We start from the raw sequence: 21,049 nt of genomic DNA on the forward strand, positions 1-21,049 counted from the left end.
CTGTTCTTTGTAATTCTTTTAGATGGTTCTTCCCCTGGTCTCTGCTAGCTTCCTCAGCTGTGTGCACTGATTAGTACTCTGTTGAATATTCAGGGGGACCATCTACAGATGTCTGATTCTCTTTCCCTGCAACTCTTTGTCCCCTCTCTGTCCTGCCAACTTTAGCCATGTTGGTCTTTCCAAACCCTTGCTTCATTTCTTCATTGTAGGGAATCGTTGAGCTGCACTGGAGTTTCTCATTCCTATGATATGGCCTGGAAACTTTCATGTCAGTAAGTTAGGGCTTTGGTAGGGTTCTTCTCATTCGTTTTCTATCTTATGTCTTCTGTTGGGTTCTGTCATGATGATTATTCACTATTGTGTTCACTTTCTTGTTTCATTGAACATATTTTTAATATTTTATCCAGTTTTTCTAGTTTGCTTTTGTAGATGGTTTGGTAGTAATTACCTAGTCTGCAATTATTGGAATAAGAGGCCTCAGACCTTTTAATTTCAACAAAGTTTTTTTCCAGAGAAGTGAGCAGCTATTTCAGGTCTGCTGGAGTCCTAAGGTAGAGTCCAATTGGGATTGAGAGCTGACCATCTGGCCAGTCTGCAAGTTCTTGCAGAAGAACCTACTGCTGAGGACTGAGGAGTGTGGGAGTGAGAGGGTGCTTGTTCTGAGGGGAGAAGGAGCCGGAAATGACAGCCTTGCTAGAGAACTGAATCATGGTTATCAGAGAGGAGGAGAAAGAGTGAGAATGCTGCCACATACTCATAGTTCTTTCCTGTTCAGATCCCATTCGATTTGTGAAGTGTGACATTGAGAGTCTGTTAAAATTGAAATGCACTTTTATAAAAATTCTGTAAAATATGGAGCCATAGGCTCTCTATCAACAGGTGGGAGTGAGAGGCAGTGAAATCTGAGTTATGACTGTTAAGGTGACTGTTTAAGTATACCCAGGCTGTGAGGCCTGGGGGAAATCAGGTTACACAGAAGCCAAGTTAACCCGGATCCAGCTCCACCTTGCAGAGTTTCGTTAACAGAAGGGGTCCTTGGTACAAACCCGCTGCCGGTCAGAAACTGGCCTGAGGCCAGAAACTCATTTTACCTTAACCTCAGAATGTCCATCAGATGATGAGGTTCTTGCCTAGGACGGATATTTTTCTAAGTTGGTACTCAGAGATTGACTTAAGAGTCCTTAAAATTTCACAATGAGTCACACATAAGGCCAGGTTTGCTGAAACCGAAAGTGTTGAAACTGCCTGGGGGCAATTTGTCGGTAACCTGTAGGCATTTGAGAAGCTATGAAAAGGATTAATATAATGCATAAAATGAAAGACAAGCAGTGGGGGTGGGGAGTGAGAAAACTATTTCCAGTGAACATAGCCCTAGTTCAGAAGACGAAATCTATATTTCACTCAGCAGAGGGTACAAATCTGTATTACATTAACTCAGCAATTCTAACCAAAACAAAGACAGGATGGCAAATATTTAAACAGTGATTAAACAGTGCCCAGGCAATAGGAAATGTCTGCTCTTGCCAACTGTTTGCTTGAATGAAATAAAATAAATAAGGGGCATACAAACTGTGTCTTCCTGGTTGTTCTCAGGGACCTTCTCTGGCATAGGGGCAGCTCCCTCAATCATGAACTTGAGTCTCATGGGTCCCATTAGAAATAGCCTAATGAGAAAGAACTCTGAAAACTGTTAATGGCTAACAGGGTACAGAATATGTATTTTTCTTTTAACGTATTTTACGTATATAAATGGCAGGGTACAATCAGAGCAGATTTCCCCACCAGGAGGTTGAATGCTTAATTCAAAACAAACGCCTATTGAATTTGATAGTAGATCTCTCCCCTCTCTCCCTAATTTGGCTTTTTGCCAGCTGTTAATCTAATTGCAGGGGTGGCAGCCTGAGATTCTGTGGCCCTCTAGGGCAACTCAAAGTACATATTGTCATTACTAATTATTATATAGTGTTGCTGTGATTAAAAGCACCACTGTCCTTTGAAAAGCCTCAAATGAGATGACAGCACAGAAGCACCTGAGTGTGCCCCATAAACTGATATTCTATTTGCTGTGCCATTAAAGTTCAACAATGCCATTATGTCTTAAGTGACAATGAAAAGTTCCCATTCCAGCTTTTAGTCAGAATGACCACAAGTTTGATGAAACCCCACTCAACCTCTTCTCCAGTCATCTTGAAAGTGAAGCTGTTTGGTGTGTTGGTGTGAGGTAACTAACCATGGTGCTACTATGCGCTTTTGTAGGCAGAGCTGGCCTGGTGACTTAATTCACATTGGGACACTTACTGTCACATTCATCGCACTGGATTAAATACTGCAACTGAACAGCCAAAAGAAGAGGTATCGCTATAGGTTGAGTGATATCTTCCCCTCAAAAGATGTGTAGAAGTCCTAATCCCCATTTCCTCAGAATGTGACGTTATTTGGCAATAAGGTCGTTGTAGATACAATTAGTTTAGATGAAGTCGTACTGGAGTAGGGTGGGTCCCAAACCAAGATAACTGGTGCCTTTATAGGAAGGGGAAATTTGTACACAGGGAGAACGTCTTGAACATAAAGACAGAGGTGGGGAGATGTAACTCCAATCCAAGGGATGCCAAAGATTGCCAGCCAACCACCAGAAGCCAGGAGAGAGACCTGGGACAGGTTCTCCCTCACAGCAGAGTGGGCTCATGTCTTAGCCTGTTTGAGCTGCTATAACAAAATACCATAAACTAGATGGCTTATAAACAACAGATATTTATTTTTCATAGTTCTGGAGGCTGGGAAGTCTGAGATCAAGATACCAGCAGATTCAGTGTCTAGTGAGGGCCCATTTCCTGGTCCACTGATGGTGCCTTCTGACTGTGTCCTCACATAGGGGAAGGGGCAAACTAGCTCTACGGGGTCTCTTTTATAAAGGTTCTAATCCCATTCATGAGGGCTCCTCCCTCATGGCTTCTCAAAAGTCACCACCTCCTAATACCATCAACTTGGAGGTTAGGATTTCAACATATGAGTTTTGAGGGGACACAAACATTCAGACCAGAGTAGCCCCTAACCCAATATGACTGGTGTCTTTATAAGAAGGTGGCTTTGTGAAGACAGAGACACATGAGGAGAATGCCACGTGACAACTAAGGCAGAGACTGGCATTAATGCAGTTACAAGCCAAAGAATGCCAGAAATTGCCAGTGAATCACCAGTAGCTAGGAGAGCAGCAAGGAAGGACACTCACCCGCAGGTTTAGGGGGGAACATGTCCCTGCTGACACCTCAATTTTACACCTCTAGCCTCCAGAATTGTGAGAGAATATGATTCTGTTTTAAGCTGCTCAATGTATGGTGCTTTGTTATGGTAGCCCTAGGAAAGGAATACAGTCAGGAACACTCTTGTCCATAGGCAACATGGGATGTAGCAATGTATGGCCAAATCTTTCTCCTCCCACCATACAGAACACATTCATTCAAAGAGTATAAATTGGCCCAAGCTTAATAGACATTCTCTTTTTTACTAGTGGGTCAACACAAGTATAGGCCAGGTTAGTTCTATAGATAAAACAGAATTTGAAATGTGTAATGTTAAAGCCAAAGGTCCAATGGCTATTTATTCCACATTCTATATAACTACCCTAACTCAAGCAGCCGCTCTAAAACCCCAGTGACTAGGACCCTGAAAAAGTGTTCTTTAAAGTGTCAGAACAGAGATTCAGACTCTCAGAATTTGCTGTTTCAGTTTGAGAAGATGAAGAGTTTGAAGATGAGAAGACTCAAATTTGAGTCCAGCACCCAGCTGCCAGTCTAGCAGCCCATTGTAGCCCCCAGAGAATGAAAATGGAATGCTTGGTCCAATCCCCATGGTGGGTGTCCTCCAGGAAGCTCTGGGGTTCCCAACTGGCCTCCAGCCATACCAGGGCCATATAGATTCCTTAAAATAAATATCTATTTGTGTGTTGCCTTTTGGTGGCTCTGATCATCTATAGCATCAAGTCTAAGCATGATGCTTGAATAAGCCTCCATGATTTATGCCCCCTCTGGGCTCTGGGCTCCTGTTGCATCACACTGTCCCTTTAGCTTTATATCTAGTTACACAAAATTACTTGTTGTTTCCACAATAAAGCCTTATGTGTCTTGTCTTTGTGACCTTAACTATCACTTAAATTGACAATGCCCTTTCCTTCTTTTCCTACTGAAACAACCCTAGTTAATCTTCAAAATATTCATAAGGGACACTTTCCTATGAAAGCCTTCTTTGACAACATCCTCCAGATAGACTTAATACCTTTTTTCTTTGTATAATTTTTTACCTGCTCCTTTACTGTGCATCTCAAACTATATTTAATAATTTGTTTATAATCATCTTTTAATTAAACTGTGAGATCCTTGAGGGCAGGAATTGTATTTTATTTATATAGGATGCCCAGTAGTAAGCATAGTGCCTATACCTGTACAGGTGATTAGTAACTGTTTAAATGAATTCTTCATTTAACAAATATTTCTTGAGACTTTTTATGTTGCAGGCATTGTTCTGGGCCTTGTAGATGTGGCAGTAGTCAAGAAAAACAAAGACCTTTCCTACCTGAAGCTTGTGTTCCGGTAGAGAAAATGGATAAACAGATAAAAATAATAGACATTGCATATACTTTCAAGTAATGATATGTGCTACGAAGAAGAAAAAAGGCAGTGTAGGAGGTTGTGGGTCGATGGGATTTCTCTTAGATTCACAAATCAAGAGGTGATCAAATGAAACTTAACCAAAAAAGACAATGACTTCTCTCTAACCAAACTTGATTACTGATAGTCTTTTTCCAAGTCAGCTTAATGTGCTGTTCAAGAGAATCAGTGTGGAAGGAAGGAAATGTGCAAGAGAGTCCTGTATCAGACACAGTGGGCAGGGAGCTTTACATCTCTCATCTTATTGGGCTTTGACAACACCCTTCAAGATAGGTGCTGTTGCAGATGAATGACAACCTGAACTTCAGGGAGGCCAAATAATGTGTCCATGTGGAGTGTCTGAGTGTGTAAGCCAAGGTTCAAACCCCGGCCATCCTGGGCCACTTGTCAACACCAGTTCTACAGTTGAATTCTATGAATACTTATCAGGTGCTGACTTCATGTCAAGCCCTGTTCTTCATGCTTAGCATACACCAGCAAATAGAATAGACAGAAATCCCTGCCATTTCAGAAAGTAACAAGTGTTGACAAGGATGTGGAGAAATTGAAACGCTTGTGCACTGTTGGTGGGAATGTAAAATGGCACAGGTACTATGGGAAACAGTATGGTAGATCCTCAGAAAATTAAAAATATAATTACCATATGATCCAATGATTCCATTTCTGGAAATATACCCAAAGGAATGGAAAGCAGGATCTTGAAGAGATATTTGTAGACTCATGTTCATAGCAGCATTAACCAAAAGGTAGAAGCAATGCAAGTACCCGTCAACAGGTGAATAGATAAATAAGATGTAGCCTATATGCATTTACCACACATGGAATATTATTAAGTCTTCAGAAGGAAGGAAATTATGACATATGCTATAACATGGCTGAACCTTGATGACATTATGTTAAGTGAAATAACCCAGTTACAAAAAGACAAATATATGGTTCTGCTTATATGAGGTACCTAGACCAGTCAAATTCATAGAGAAAGTAGAAGAGTGGTTGCCAGGGGCTGGCAAAAAGGGGAAGTGGGGAGTTAGTGTTTACCGGGTACAGAGCTTCAGTTTGAGAAGATGAAGAGTTCTGGAGACGTATAGTGGTGATGGTTGCACAACAGTGTGAATGTACTCAATGCCACTGAATTGTACACTTAAAAATGGTTAAAATAGTAAATTTCATATTATGTGTATTTCACCACAATTTAAAAAATCTCTGCCCTTGTGGAGCTCATGTTTTAGTTCAGGGACATGAACAGTGAACAGATTAAATATGTAAATCATAAGCTATTAGAAGGAGATGAGTGATATAGAAACAGAACAGATTGAAGAAGATTGGGAGGGCTGCGAGCAAGGAGAGTGTGTTTTCAGTTTTAAACGGGGTGGTTAGTTTCATGGTCTTCTTCAGCTAGAGTTAAAATAAGTCGTCAATAAAGCTTGTCAGCCATGAAACTGGGGTATCTTCCTTGGCATCCATGCTTTGCCCAGAACACTCTGACTTGTTGGAATCTTGAGTGGAAATTTAAAGTCTCTCAGAAATAACTTTCAAGTTTCAGTGTAGGAAGTCCAGAGCACACAGAGGGGAGGAGGGACTGTCACTGGGCAGCATCCAGAGGGACTTCATTTTCAGTGTGTGAGGGAGACAGCCAGGCGGGGCGTGCACATTCAGGGAATAATAAACAGTAAGAGGGAGAGGGCAGAAGACAGGTGGAGTGTGTTGGAGGTGGGTACACTAAGGCAAGGCAGGAGGCTCTAAAATTTGTAGGCTGGATGATGGGAAGTAAGTGCAGTGTTTAAATTTTTATTGTAAATTAGTTATTTACTCCATCCATTGATTCCTCTAGCCAGTGTTGGAGGGACCAGCTTGGCACGTGCTTCTGGGCTCCTTCCTGGGGATTGGGTGCAAGAATGGCTGCCCTCAGAGAATGAATCACAATCTGGTAGGAAAGTAAAAACATATGCACATTGGGAATATTTAAATAGCAAGGCTGTGTAGTTTATACCAAGATGAGTGATCCAGACAATAGATGCTGTAGACAAGGAAGACAGTCAAAATATCTGTCAAAATTTCTAACAGCCAGTACTGCACAGGCATCAGACTGGATTGCGATGGATGCCAATCCCATCAGAACACACTGTGGGAGTGGACAATCTGTACCCCATGAATATTAGCCCTGGTATGGCAGCATTGAAGAGCAAAGGTCTCTAGGGACTGGGGCCACTGCGCAACAGTTCAGGGAGGAGATAGAACTCAGACTGAGCCTGGAGAGGTGGGGAGGGAGAGAGAAGCGGGAATAATTAAATTAGTTTCATGATGTAAGTAGGATTCTTAGAAGATTATTCTGACAGATATGTGTGGCATGGAGTAGAGTGGGAGGAATGAAGGAAGAAAATTGGTGAGGAGGCTGTTCTAGGAATTGAGGTGTGAGATGAGAAGAATGGAGGACTCCCTATTGGAGAGAAAGGCTTGACCCGTGAGCCAGGGAGAGCTGAGCGGCGAAGAGTAACTTGGAATTATTCCGCCAAGAGCCAAAGTATTTATTTCTTACCACGAATTGTTAAAATGTGACTATGAAGAGTAGTAAAAGCATAATAAGGTGTGAACTTAAACCCTTGACACTCTTTCCTCTCCCTTCCCTGAAATTCCTCTCTTAAGATCCAACAAGGGACTTGAAAAATAATATTGTGAAAATGGCTTGCAAGACACAGCTGGATTCCTCACAGGACTAGCTTTGTTAGCAGAAATTGCTCTAGGATCTGCAGTATGCAGAGCACAGGGGTGGGCAGATCAACCTCAGCCTCTGGATTGGGTTTGGGAGAAAGTCTCTTTAAAGCCCCCAGCACTATTCCTGGGAAGCCCCACTTTAGGAGTTATGTCCCGGGAAGGTTCCTGACCTGCTGTCCTAGCAAAGCCCAAGCTTCCCTTCTTGTCAAAGTTGGACTTGGGCACCCTGCTGTTCAGCTCTCCACCTAGGCAAGCTTTGTGTAGCGTTCAGGAGGCTCTAAGAGTTGTAGGGCTTCCCTTCTGCAGTTTTAATTTGAGTGTTAATAAAAAAACTCTTTAGGCAAGTGATAATATTGGTACAGACCTCTTTGAAAAGAAGAGAGGAAGATACACGACCGAATGCATTTCAACTTCCACAAGAGCTATTTGAAGAGGATAAAGATGAAGGGTAAAGGGATAAAGTGGGTGGTGGAGTGGAAGGCCAGTTGGAGTAGTTTATTCTATAAAGAGTGAGATAATTGGGTGGCCATTTGCAAACACACACACACAGACACACAAACACACACACAATTACACCCTTCACTGTGCACCAAATGCATCAAGGATTTATATATTTTAATATTAACTTTCATAATACAATCTTTTATACTATGAAAATAAGTAAATATACCACTTTCTTTTCTTTCTAAACATTCACTCACTGAAGGATATCTAGGTTGTTTTCATTTTTTGGCTATCACCAGTGAAGCTGCTGTGAACTTTCATGTACAGATTTTTGTGGGAGCATACGTTTATCTCTCTGGGATAAGTGACCAGGTATAGTACAATCACTTCTGGGTCAAATGGTAATTGCGTGCTTAGTTTTGTAATAAATTGCCAAACTGTTTTTCAGAGTGGCTATATCATTTTACATATTACTTATATATGTATATATAAATTTTTTAAATAATAAAAATTTTATTATATAGTTTTAAAAAACATGACATCAGATAATTTTGTTTTGCTATCATTATAAAGTGAAAAATGAATGTTTAATATGTTAAGAATGGAAATCATGCTCACAGTATATTCTTTTAAAGATAGTTTAAAAATAAATTTATGAAGAAAGAGAGAGATTGATTTAGTTAGTATTTAGTTAATATGAACTTCTATAACAAAATACCATAGACTAGGTAGCTTAATAGCAGAAACAAAATTCTCACAGTTCTGGAGGATATGTGATTAAGTAAAACATGCAAGACAAGAATACTATAAATAGCACAATATGATTTTAAATAAATGTTCAATTCATTAAAAAAATAAAGGTACACACACATGCAAATTCTTGCTTAAGGACAAGGTTATGAACCTTGGCAAGTCACCTCCATGGAAATATTAATGTATATCATGCACAAGGAGTGGAGGAGCATCACTGGGGGTGATTTTTCTTCCCCAGGGGACATTGGCAATGTCTGGATGCATTTTTTGTTGTCATGACTGGTGAGGAGGATGTTACCAGCATCTAGTGGGTGTCAGCCAGGAATGCTGCTAAACATTGACAATGCATAGGACAGCCCCTACAACAAAGAATTATCTACCCTCAAAGTCAATAGTGCTGAAGTTGAGAAATCATGGTTTAGGGAGTCTTGATTAAAACTTTTCAACTGGGGTACCCTGAGATGGTGAAATATACTAGTATGCTTTGCTTCACAGTGTCAACTTTACTCGCATCTGCAGCAGGTGAGTTATAATCTTCACAGGAGCCAGCTCCTGGGGAAAGACTGATCATAGAAGAAATTCTCATTGGCTTTGACCAAATCCTTCTCCTTGCCAATTAGGAAATATTGACTTTCTAATCTTTTAGCAAAAGCTCCGTCTGTATTTGAATATATGTTTGGTTATAACAAATAACTTGTTTCCACAAATGGAAAAAAGTATCGTAAATGGCAACAGATATAGTTTAGTGCTGACTTTAGATGGTGGCTGGACCTCCTATAGGACAGGCAAAGCTAAGTACTTTCTACTCAAAGCCATCAAACAAAATGCTTACAAATTAGAATGTAATGGCCATTGCTTTACTTGTTTTGATAAACCAGAAAAACAGGCTTCAGCTTATTGAATCTATTATTGAACCCTAATTAGCTGTGGTGTTTGGACATTCTGAGGCCCATGGTAAGATAAATAATATTTATGGTTTCTTCCATGTATCAAATAATTGTGTACGAAATGTAGTATAGTATGGAATGCTCTCTTCTCTCAGAGTTTAGACCACAGAGTGACCAGGCGCTCATTGTGGGGTTAGGGTTGAAACGCTGGAGCCCAGCATGGGTAATCTTCGCGTAGACACTCTCACCGCAGATATCAGAGAGCTTAGCAACATCTCAGGCTCATGCAGACTCCTCGCTGGTTTCCTCACCAATGCCCTTCGTGTCGCCATGTGAGCTTTGGGTGGAATTGAGGAAGGGCAGCATTAAATACACTGAGTAATCTGAAAATGAAGGGTGGGGGAATTAAAAACGAGTTCACTTGGGTTCAAGGAAAATTTTTGAGGATGTCAGCATTTTCCATGTTGGGGGAAAAAAGAGATTTTAAAAAACTTTTCTCTCAGAGAACTTGCTAAAATATCATCAGTGCATAAGTGAAAGGAGATAGTGTGGAGAAAAAAATTTTAAGCCATCACCAAAAAGGCGAAGTCCCAAAGATACAAACCAAAATTCCAAGGTAAATACATCAATGAAGACAAACAGAACTGGTCTCAGTTTCCTTATCTGTAAAATAGGCAGAAACAATCCCTTATCCTAAACTCTTGAAACCAGATGAGTTTCAGAATTCAGAACTTTTAGTATTACAGAAAGATAATAAAGTACATATTGTCATTTATTATATAGAACACTCAGAGGCATTGGAGGGCAATATCCCTTAATGAAACACATTAATTTTTCTGTAGTGAAATGTGCACCAAATGAGTTAAGTAAAGACTATAAGTAGCCTCATGTTAGTTTGTTAGGTTTTGCTGCCAAGTAATTTTGCTTTAGACTTATGAAAAAATGTTCAGTTTTCAGAGATTTTAGATTTCTGAATTGCAAATGAGGGATGGTGTACCAGTGTCTGTCTCAAAGAGGTGTCCTGAGAATAAAATGCCATAATGGATAAATTGTGCACACTGCTGGTGTATACTAAGCATGTAATAACAGTGGCTATTGTTACTAGGTTTTTGTTTTTATAGGTAAAAGTATTCAGATATTATAATTATAATATTATTATCAGCATTGGAATTATTTTGGGTTGATGTATATTTCTTTTCCATTTCTTCTTTCCTTTTCTCTCCTTTTTTCCTTAACCCCCCACCCCTACTCCTGTCTGCCTGGCTGTCTCCCTCCTTTCCCCCTTCCTTCTTTCCTTCCTTCCTTCCTTTCTTTTCTTTTCTTTCTTTCTTTTCTTTTCTCTCTCTCTCTCTTTTTCCTCTCCCCTCCCCTCCCCTCCCCTCCCCTTCCCTTCCCTTCCTCCATCCCTCTTTTCTCCCTCTCCTACACAGGGCTTTGACCTTAATATCCTTGCATATAACAAATGATGTGAGTGGTCATCTCTCATCTGGTTTGGTTACTGGACAGACTCTTTAAGCTTCATCTGATTGTGTATGAATAGCAGTCCTCTTATTAAAGAGATAAAAACCAAAACTAAAACAAAAATAGTAAAACAAGCAGCACGCATCTCACTTGTCTTAGATTTCTGTGCCCTTTTTTCTCAGCAAGACCCAAGTATTCTAACCACAATGATTCTGATGACCAGGAATTCTAGAGCTGGCAGCCTGGCTGAGTCAGAGGGATTTGAGTTGGATCAGCACAGAATCCAGACCAAAGTCACGGTGAACTGGCATGAAAAACAACAACAACAGCAGCGGCAGCAGCAGCAACAATATAGACACATGCAAAACACAAAGCAGCCAGCTACCAGCCACCTCCGAATTGTATCCAAATGAACTGCTACTCATACCTCCACTTCCTGGGCCCCATTTCTCTGATTCCTTTCCGACTGCAGACCTATTAGCCACAGTCTCACATTGTTCTAGATCTCTACTTTCTCCCTTTCCTTGCTTTTGGCTCTGCCTTTTCTTTCTTTCTTTTCTTTTCTTTTCTTTTCTTTTTTTTTTTAAATAAGGCTTCAACTCTTCAACTTCTCCCCTTTTAAATTATGTTATGAACCATCCACAGGGGAGAAAAGCCAACAAACTCATGAACTACATTCTGTTTACAAGTTCGTTTCTAAGTCTGATTATTTATTTCTTTAATTTAGAAGTTCTATATCCCCAAGAGGACCTTAGTAACTGAAAGCTGCTCTTATTTTACTAATATATTTAATAACTCTTCATTTTTATAGTAAGAATGAATCTAGGCTTGCCATATATTTTCATGGTAAAATATTTTAATTCCTCTGAAGAAGACGGAGGATCTTAACCAAATGACTTATGCAGAGAATACAGGCATAGAAAAATGGAACAAATATCATTGTTAATTGTTTTTTCTGTGATGACAGTTTACTCTGTAGCAGCAATTCTTAAACTTGGTACCTGGTATTAGTACAGCAGGTGTTTTGGAAAAAGTAAAAGGATTCTGTGCCCACATAACTTTGTGAAACTTTACTTTGAACAAAATTAAGCAGATTTCATTAATGTAGAAACAGTGTTCCGGACATACAGTGTTTGAAATATTGGTACTGGCCTACTGGCAGGTCAGTTGTGAGGTCTTGACACCCTCAGTTTTCTACCAAGGAAAACTACTCAGTTAACAAGCTACTGCTCATAGGCAGCCATAGTTGGACTTTTCCCCTCATCATGGCTGGTGATGGGAGTGGGCACTGGATTCCAGGCTGGCCAGATCATGGACTGGCCACAACTGCCAATCAAGGACAGGACCAGTCAATTAGCAGACAACACATAGAGGCCACTGGGAGGCAGCAGGGTCCCTGAGGATTTCCGAGGAAATCAGTCAGGTATAGGTGGAAGCCTTGAGAGATGAAAGAGAAAAGCAGAGTGGGAGGCAGGGTGGCTGATAGGCTGTGTCAGGAGCTGTGGATGGGAGACAGGAAATCCAAGTTACAGAGGAGAGGTGGATGGACTGCCTGCACCAGAGGGGCAAAGAGGTAACCTTATTCCTAGATCAACTCTAGGACCTTCCAGTTGTCTTTTGCTAGGTTGGGCTGTGCACCTTCCTGATTGCCCCAAGACATTCCTGTTTTTATTTCCAGTGACTTCCACTTCTAAACTTACTCATTACCCAATGCATTCTTGTAATACATTCTATCATAATTTGAAGTAGCTTGAGGACTTTGTACCTTGTAGCTAAAAAAGTCTAATGAATGCTTCTGGTTTATTCTTAAGGATTTTTTTATAATAACTTTTTTTCTCTGCAAAAATAGTACATGACAAATTGAAAACCCAATGAAGTACAAAGCAGACAATAAAAATACCTATAGTTACCCTCACTCAGTCACTGTTAAATTTTGGTATATATCTGTGAAGGGCTCTTTCTCTGTTTTCGAATTGCAAGAATGGGTGCACACCACATACACTGTTTTCTATTTTTTTAACCTAATTATTGTAAATATCTTTTTCTTTTTATCACAACATATTTAATTATTATGTCATATTTTGTTGTATGTCCAAAGTTCAATGAATTCTCAATGGTTGAACATTTTGGCTGTTTATTTATTTTTTGCTACTGTAATCAGTTCTGTGGTAAATCACCTTGAAGGTAAATATTTGCACACATTTGTAATTATCTCTCAGGATAAAGTCCTAGAAGGGGAATTGTCAGGTCACAGCATATGCACGGTTTTAAGGATTAGAATACTTATGGAAATTACTCTTCAAAAGGTCTAGGCTAATTTACATATCAATCCAGCAGCCTCTCGTAGACAAGCTTTGTTTTCTATAGCTTCTTTTTGGGCTTTTCCCCTGTCCTGTAGAACCTTCTGGATTTTAGTGTTGATTGTCCCACCCTTTTGATTTCAGAGCATTAGCCTTCTCTCTAAGCTTTTTAATGCTTTGCAATGAGATTACTAGTTCTATAATTTTCAGTGCTGGCTCTGGCTGCTTTGTCTCAGAATACCACTGCAATTTTCTGTTTTTTCTTTTCTTTTTTTTTTTTTTTTTTGCCAATGGATCTATTGAACTGCCTAGTGAGCAGTGCAGGGGGAGAAAGGTGAACCCAGTTTCATTTGCATCCCATGTGGCTTTGGCAGCAGTAGCATCGAATTAAACTCAAGCCCCGGAAGATGTGCTTCCTTTGGAAAATGAAAGACCTACAAAGTTCAAGGAGCCCATTCGTGGCAAGTAAATTAAGAGCGTAAACCCAAAGAATGTCTGCAGTTTACAGCTTGGTATTACACGGTTGCTTCTGATTGGTATAATCTGTCATTGCTGTGATGTGTTTAGAGACAACTCAGATTACACTCCTGATACACTAGCTAGGGCCAACCACCTGTGGCCCTAGTCAACGATCAAAGATAGTTACCACAAATGCTATTTGAGGAAATAATGGCTTAGAGTGGAATAAAAACTGCAGTGCTGCTTTTATTGTGTAACTTTTCATCTTATGTGCTTAGCGGAACAGGGCATGAGAATCCTATTTATTGGCAGTAAGACTCTTTCTTTTACCCTTGGTGTCACAAGGGCATTTGGGGAATTTTGCTGTTAGTTAAAAGTTCCAAGGCACCAAGCGCAGGCAGGCTGAAGAGATGAAACTTGAGCCAGTCATTTTTACTGCCTGTTTGCTTCTCTGGTAAGAACTTCTGGGAGAAGCATGAGGCTACCAGTTAAAATGTGTAGGTTGGACTTTTGTGGATTACCTATTTAAGTATTCATGTTTTCTCTAATAGAATAAGTACATGCCATTGAGAATAAACTGTATTTATTCATACATTTATGTATTCATTCATTTTTCCCTTATTCAAAGCCATCAACTGAATATCTATTAGGCACCATGCACTGCATATATTTAAAAAATATTTGCATGCATTTTATTCAAGAGTTTAAGTCCCAGCCAAAGCAAGAATTTTAGACTTTTATTTATTAATGTGCCTGGTTTTGTTACAACCTAATAATCTGCCTCCTGGGAGCCTTTAAGTCTTATGGTCTTATGGGGGTGGTGTAGGATGATTGGGGGATTGTCCTTTAATTAAATAAAAAGGCATGAATTGTTTGACACAGCGGTCATGTGAAAAAGGCAAGTTGTTCTCTAGTGCACAACAAAAAGATCGGAGCCCCTATTTCCAAGAAGTGTATTTTGTGGGGATGCAGGATTGGGGACCTACGCTGTGCCTCTGCGGTCACTTGGTTTCCATGGTCGCTCTCACCTCTGGAGGCCGTTCTTGTTTTGGCATTGCCTTCTCCTATGCAGGGTGTTGCCTCTTGTCCTTTATTACCCCAGAGTACTGCTGGTATGAGATTATTGTGTGAAGCTGACTTTTCAGAGGGCTGAGGCTACCCTTACTCTGATACCAGCTACAAGTTCAGAGGGTTTGCCAAACAACCCTCCAGTTTGATAATTTACCAGAAAGAGCCACAGAATTCACTGAAAGCCATACTTATGATTCATTACAGGAACAGGATACTAGTTAACATTAGCCAAGGAAGAGATGCCTTGGACAAAGCCCAGGAGGGGTCGAAATGTGGAGCTCCCATTCATCCTCTCTCGCTGGCATCATAGAGAGTATTACCTCCTCCCGACCACTGTTTGTGGCAGTATGCAGGGCATTGCTGGGCAGGGAAGCTCATTGAGCTTTTGGTGTCCAGAATTTTTATTGAGTCCTAATCACATACTATCTGCATGGCTGATCTTCAGTCTCCAGACCTTCCCAGAAGTTTTGGCTAGCATCTTTCATCCTCAGTTCCTCTGCAAGTGTGAACTGATACAACATGGCCTAAAGCCTCCATCACAAATCACGTAATTAGACTCTCTGATTGCCAAAGTCCCCAGGCAAACAAAGATACTCCCCTTAGACTGGACACTCCAGGGGCCTAGCATCACCTTCTTGTACCTGAGGGCAAAAGCCAGAGCTTTTGTGTGTGTGTGTAAAGTTAATTCTTCACGAAACAATTATATTAACAAAAATTTTCTAGAAATTTATAGATCATTCTTAATCTCACTGACTAGGTCTTCTCTCCACCTTGTGAACCCTGAAAACCTGAGACAGGTCTCAGTTAATTTAGAAAGTTTATTTTGCTAAGGTTGAGGACACGTACCTGTGACACAGCCTCAGGAGGTCCTGATGACATGTACCAAAGGTGGTAGGAGCACAGCTTGGTTTTATACATTTTAGGAAGTCACGAGACATCAATCACTATGTTTAAGATGTACATTGGTTCAGTTCAGAAAGGTGGGACAATTCGAGGCAGAGGCGGGGCAACTTGAAGTTGGGAGGGGGTTTCCAGGTCATAGGTAGATAAGAGACAAATCGTTGCTTTCTTTTGAGTTTCTAGTTAGCCTCTCCAAATGAGCCAGTCAGATATGCATTCATCTCAGTGAGCAGAGGAGTGACCTTGAATAGAATGGGAGGCAGGTTTGCCCTAAGCAGTTCCCAGCTTGACTTTTCCCTTCAGCTTAGTGATTTCGGGGTCCCAAGATTTATTTTCCTTTCACAACCTCTTCATTTTCCATTATATTTTTTGAAGTTCCTTTTTTATCTAGACCCTCTGAATATCATCCTTTTACCTCATTCATGGATGCATATTCTTTCTTTTTTAGGCTGCCTTAGAAATGCAAAATTCCCCTCACTTTGCTATGCAGAGCAATCCATCTCTCTTGGATTTGCCTTAGTATAACCAGGAGCCCAGGAGGCCTCCCATTCCTTGTCTGCAAAAGCCTATCCATACCCATGAGGTATTTTCCTCAACAAAACAAAACAAAACAGGAATCTATTCCTGACTCCACCTCTCCTTTAGAAGGCCAATCCTGAACAAAAGTAATCATCAACCATAAATTTCTATACCCAGTGAAACTATCTTCACAAATGAAGGTAAAATAAAGACAATTTCAAGCACACAAAAAAATGAGAGTTTTATTATCCAAAGTCTCTCACTAAAGGAAGTTCCAAAGGACATATTTTAGGAAGAAGGGAAATGGTTCCAGAAGAAACATCTGAGTTACAGGAGGAAAGTTGAATAGACAAACAAATAACAAACAGAAAGGTAAACATGGGTAATTAAAAAAAAATGCAACTGCAATTGGTTTTTGTTTAAAATAAGAACAATTTATTTTCCCCTTACAGTTACATTTATGATTATATTGCAGGTGTTAAAAGAAAAACTTTAGAAAAATTAAATTTAGTAGAGTTTAATTGAGCAAAGAATGATTCACGAATCAGGCAGTGTCCTGAGCCAGAATAGGTTTGGTGTCACCTTGTGCTGGCTTGTGGTTGAAAAAGATTTATGGACAGAAAAAGGAAAGTGATATACAGAAGACAGAATGAGATACAGAAACAGCTGGCTTAGTTACAGCTCCACGTTTGCCTTATTTGTACACAGTCTGAACAGTTAGCTGCCTTTGATTGGTCCAAACTTGGTGATTGGCACAAGCATAGGTGACAGTCTGTGTACGCATCCAGTTAGATTACAGTTCACTATGTATGGAGAAACCTTTAGGCTGAACTTAAAATATGTAAGAAACCAGCTTTAGGCTAAACCTAATTTAACACAGGTAAATCTCAATTTAAATACTATTGGTAACCTTTTCTCATTATTGGCTGACAAATGATGTCCCTTTTCCTTTAGAAACATTTTCAAAGAATCCAATCCTTTTAGTCGTCAAATCAAGTGTTTCTTAGTTTTCAACTGAGTAAGAAAACTTTTTCATTTATTATTTACTAGGGTCAGGAGCATTTAGTAGCAATGATAAAAGTGCAGATCAGAGACTACTTATATTGAACAGAAGTGCTTTATAAGGTCTCTATTCAACTGACATTCTGTTAAGTATTTCTAGTCAATGGATTCCTACGCGGACTGTTGAAACTTTAAGCTCAGGATAAGTGGTCTGGATGTGCAGTGCAGTTTAGTAAATGAACTAGAGCTCGGGTTCTATTTGCAACCCAGTTTTTTGGAGCTGAAGGGGCCCTTGGAACTCTTTAATCCCAGGTAGAAAAATGGAGACTCAGGAAAGCAGCACAGAGCATTTGTTGTCTGAGATAAGAGAGATGGGGCCATTTGAGAGCTCTGACCAGGCCCATGGCAGGCAAAGGGCTGCAGAGCGTTTCAAATTGGCAAAATTGACCTGTACTTCTCCATGTTGTGCTTCTCCTCAGAACTTTTGGGAAGCCGTGTGACTGTCATCATTCCAGCTAGAACACTTTCTTCCTCCAGAAAGTTTTGTGATCTGTTAACAATCATGTCTGGACCAAAGAATTTGGGGAAACTTGAAGCCAAAACAAATTTATCTAAGATTGTTGTTGTTTTTAAACAAGTGGCCAGCTTTGCAAATTTATGGATTAGTCCCCAAAGCTTGTGCTCTATAATTGACCCTTAACAGGTTAGCAGTAGAGGAGAAGAGAGACAAAGGCCACACTCTAGGGACTAAGAGCTATGAGAGTGTCGAGAGGTTGGGAGGGCTGTGTGTGTGTGTGTGTGTGTTTGTGTTGTTGGAGAAGGATGATCAGGTGTAGGAGAGAAGGGAGTAACTGCCACACTTGTGAATTTGGAAGCAATTTCAAAATCTCTATGTGGAGATTTTCTTTTGTTATATGGACAAACTTGGGGAAAGCCTCAAAAAGTTGAATGTCTTAGATCTCCACATTCTATTTTTTTTTTTTTCCAAGAGAATGCTTACTTAGTTGCGGGAAGCAGCCTCTAGGTGTGCAGGAGTGCAGATGCATGTCTTCCTTCTCTTCTAGTGGCTGGGACTCTTCCTGGGCTGGCATGGCAGCAACTGTGGGTGGGTGGTGCAGAATTTGTGCTGGTGTGGGAGGCCCTCATAAGTGACCCAGCCTCTGTCATTTCCGAGATGTTCATGTGGTGATGTGTCCTTTGCTCTAAAACAGTTGCTGTCATTTGTGATAGGTACACAGAAGTGTATGGACACAGGTGCAAATTCCCAGACCCTTACCTGTCACCAGGAGGCTGGTGGACTTTTCCAGGGTATTTGCCCCCTTTTCGTCTCCTGAATGACAATGTTGTGAATTGCGTGGGGGTTCAATGGAAGTGTTTTACTGACTGGGGATTTTTATTCTTGCTCATTATAATATTATCTTCTCTTTATTTCCTCATAAATACTTTAGGTTTCCTGTTGTAACTTTTGCTTTTCAATATCCATTTTATCTGGTGGTGATGATGATGATGACAATCATAGAAAACAGTTACATAGCCATCAGAATGTACCAGGCACTGCTCTAAACACTCACCTTATGTTAATACATGTAGGCCTATTATTATCCCCCTTTTATAAATATACATGTTCTTAGACCTTTTCCTTTTATTAAATTAGATTTTCATTCTTATGTTATCCAGTTTTATACCCAAAGTTTTAGTTCCTTTTAAATTTATCATTCTGAAATTTTTATTGCTAAAAATTATTTCTAAGATAAGTTGTATTGTCCAATATTTTCAATTCTTTTTCTTATTTTTGTATTCTACTTGCTTAATTACATTTAATAATTATTTTCTTTAATGCTGCCTTAGGGTTAACATTTTTCATTTTTTTAATCCACTTTTAAAAAGTTCTTTTTTTCCTATATATAGGGGATATAGAAAAAGTTACACAATAGCATAGGGACACATTCTCTCCAAAGAGAGGCAATGGTATGGGGGGAGCAAAAGATAGGGTGAGACCATCCTAGAGTAAAAGGGAACAAGAATTAACCACAAGCAACTTCGGAACCTGAATTAGATGCTGGTACAAAAACAAAACAAAACAAAACAAAACACAGCAAGCAAAGATATTCTTAGGACAATTGTGGAGATTTGAATATGAACTGGAATAATGGTTCACTTTCTTAGGTGTGGTAATGGTATCAGGGTTATGTAGGAGAATATCCTTATCCTTAGGCCATTCATGAGAGAGATGGAGAAAGTAAATGAGGTAAAATATTAACGATTATTGAATTGAAAGATATATAGGCATTGATTTCACTATTCAACTTTTTTGTTGGTTTGAACATTTTCATGGTAAAAGTTAGAAAATACAAAAAAAAACACAAAAACAAAACAATTTTTATCTTTATTATCTGTTTTTCAATTTTTGGTCTTAACTTGAGTATTATTTATATTATTATCTGTTTTTCTGTATTTTTGTCATAACTTTTTAGTTCCTATTTTATATTTTTATTGTTTACTGCTTTATAAAATTTATGCGTTTACTATTTTATAAAACCAGGTAATGCCTCTGGTCCTGGATGCTGGCTGGGGAAAGGAACAGCCTGTATATATTGGCCAAGATGATGAGATTGAAGTTGCAGAGCTTGTGTTCTCTCTGGTCACCTGCCTAGCCCCCTTATCAGATACCTCACACCTTCACTGTTGGTTCCCAAAAAAACTCATATTAACATTAAACTCATAGTCCTCTCATAAATTACGTGATAATCTAAAATGGAGAGATTTGCCCTTTTCCATCTTGCCATTGAAATTCTCATGAAAACAACAACAATAACAGAAATACCAAGTGCAATGGCAGGAGATCTGCAGGAGAAATTTCTAATGGCCCAGGACAGGTGTGGCTCTGAGGCAGGAAGACAACAGGAGATCCCCTCTCTCCACCCCTGCTGCAGAGAGGGGAATGGGGCTTAGTGGTTACCCCTAGGCCTAGATATGGTTTGTCAAAAAGAACACAAAGCCACAAGCAGAACATAGTGCAATTTCCTAAAGTGTGAGTAGACTTGAGGGAAGTTACTTTTATATTAAAATAAACATGGGTATATTTTGGAATAGCCTGCAAAAGGGAGATGCCAAAGGAATTTTATGCTTATTGAAGGCTGTTTTGAGACATCCTCTAAGACTCCCAGGAGTATAAATGGAAGAGTTTGTGAATCTCTGTATTATGATTAATTATGGGTTGGTTTGGCTAAAGAAGGTTTTGTAGGGGGAATGTTTTTGTGGGCCAATATTGATTATATATTTATATATATATATAGAGAGAGAGAGAGTATAGACAACTTTTTCTTCTTTGAATAGTAACCTACTGACCATTTGTACGTTGAAGTCCTATCCCCCAATACCTCAAAATGTGACTATATTTAGAGATAGGGCCTTTAAAAAGGTAATGAAGGGAAAAGGGGGTCATATGGGTGGGCCCTAATCCAATATGACTGAAGTCCTTACAGGAAGAGGAGATTAGGACACAGATATGCATGCATAAAGGAAAGACCATGTGAAGACATGCAGAGAAGTCAATCATCTGTAAGTCAAGGACACAGGCTCAGAGGAAACCAACCCTGCCAGTCAACACCTTGATCTTGGACTTCCAGCCTCCAGAATTGCAAGAAAATACATTTCTGTTGTTTAAGTCACCCAGTTGTGATACTTTGTTAAGGGCAGCCCCAACAAACTGATATACTGCTAGAATGGTGCTTATCAATTTTGTTATTCTGTTAATTTGTTTCATTTACTTTCCAACACAGTTTTCTCCTTTCTCACTCACTGATATCCTGACGTTTGACTTCCTGATCAGAAATGGAAGTGATGGGGTTGGACAGCAGGTGTTGGAAACTCAAAT

The 21,049-nt window shown here is 39.7% G+C and overlaps 1 long non-coding RNA gene across 1 annotated transcript in view, besides 2 other annotated features; it reads left to right on the forward strand.

Moving 5' to 3' along the window:
* DLEU1 (deleted in lymphocytic leukemia 1) overlaps positions 1–21,049 on the forward strand; it is a 446,475-nt gene that overhangs the window by 282,644 nt on the left and 142,782 nt on the right. The gene's annotated exons all lie outside the window — the stretch shown is intronic.
* Positions 2,021–2,315: a silencer, noted in NCBI's record as "tiled region #6827; HepG2 Repressive non-DNase unmatched - State 23:Low, and K562 Repressive non-DNase unmatched - State 24:Quies". NCBI's record gives its function as "represses a minimal TATA promoter and a strong SV40 promoter by Sharpr-MPRA in HepG2 and K562 cells {active_cell/tissue: HepG2 | K562}" and the evidence as "EXISTENCE:reporter gene assay evidence [ECO:0000049][PMID:27701403]".
* Positions 13,593–14,189: an enhancer, noted in NCBI's record as "H3K4me1 hESC enhancer chr13:50952541-50953137 (GRCh37/hg19 assembly coordinates)". NCBI's record gives its function as "activates a minimal SCP1, AML or CMV promoter by ChIP-STARR-seq in primed H9 embryonic stem cells {active_cell/tissue: H9 hESC(primed)}" and the evidence as "EXISTENCE:reporter gene assay evidence [ECO:0000049][PMID:30033119]".

The sequence above is a fragment of the Homo sapiens genome, chromosome 13 (genome assembly GCF_000001405.40).
Source record: "Homo sapiens chromosome 13, GRCh38.p14 Primary Assembly".
Lineage (NCBI taxonomy): Eukaryota > Metazoa > Chordata > Mammalia > Primates > Hominidae > Homo > Homo sapiens.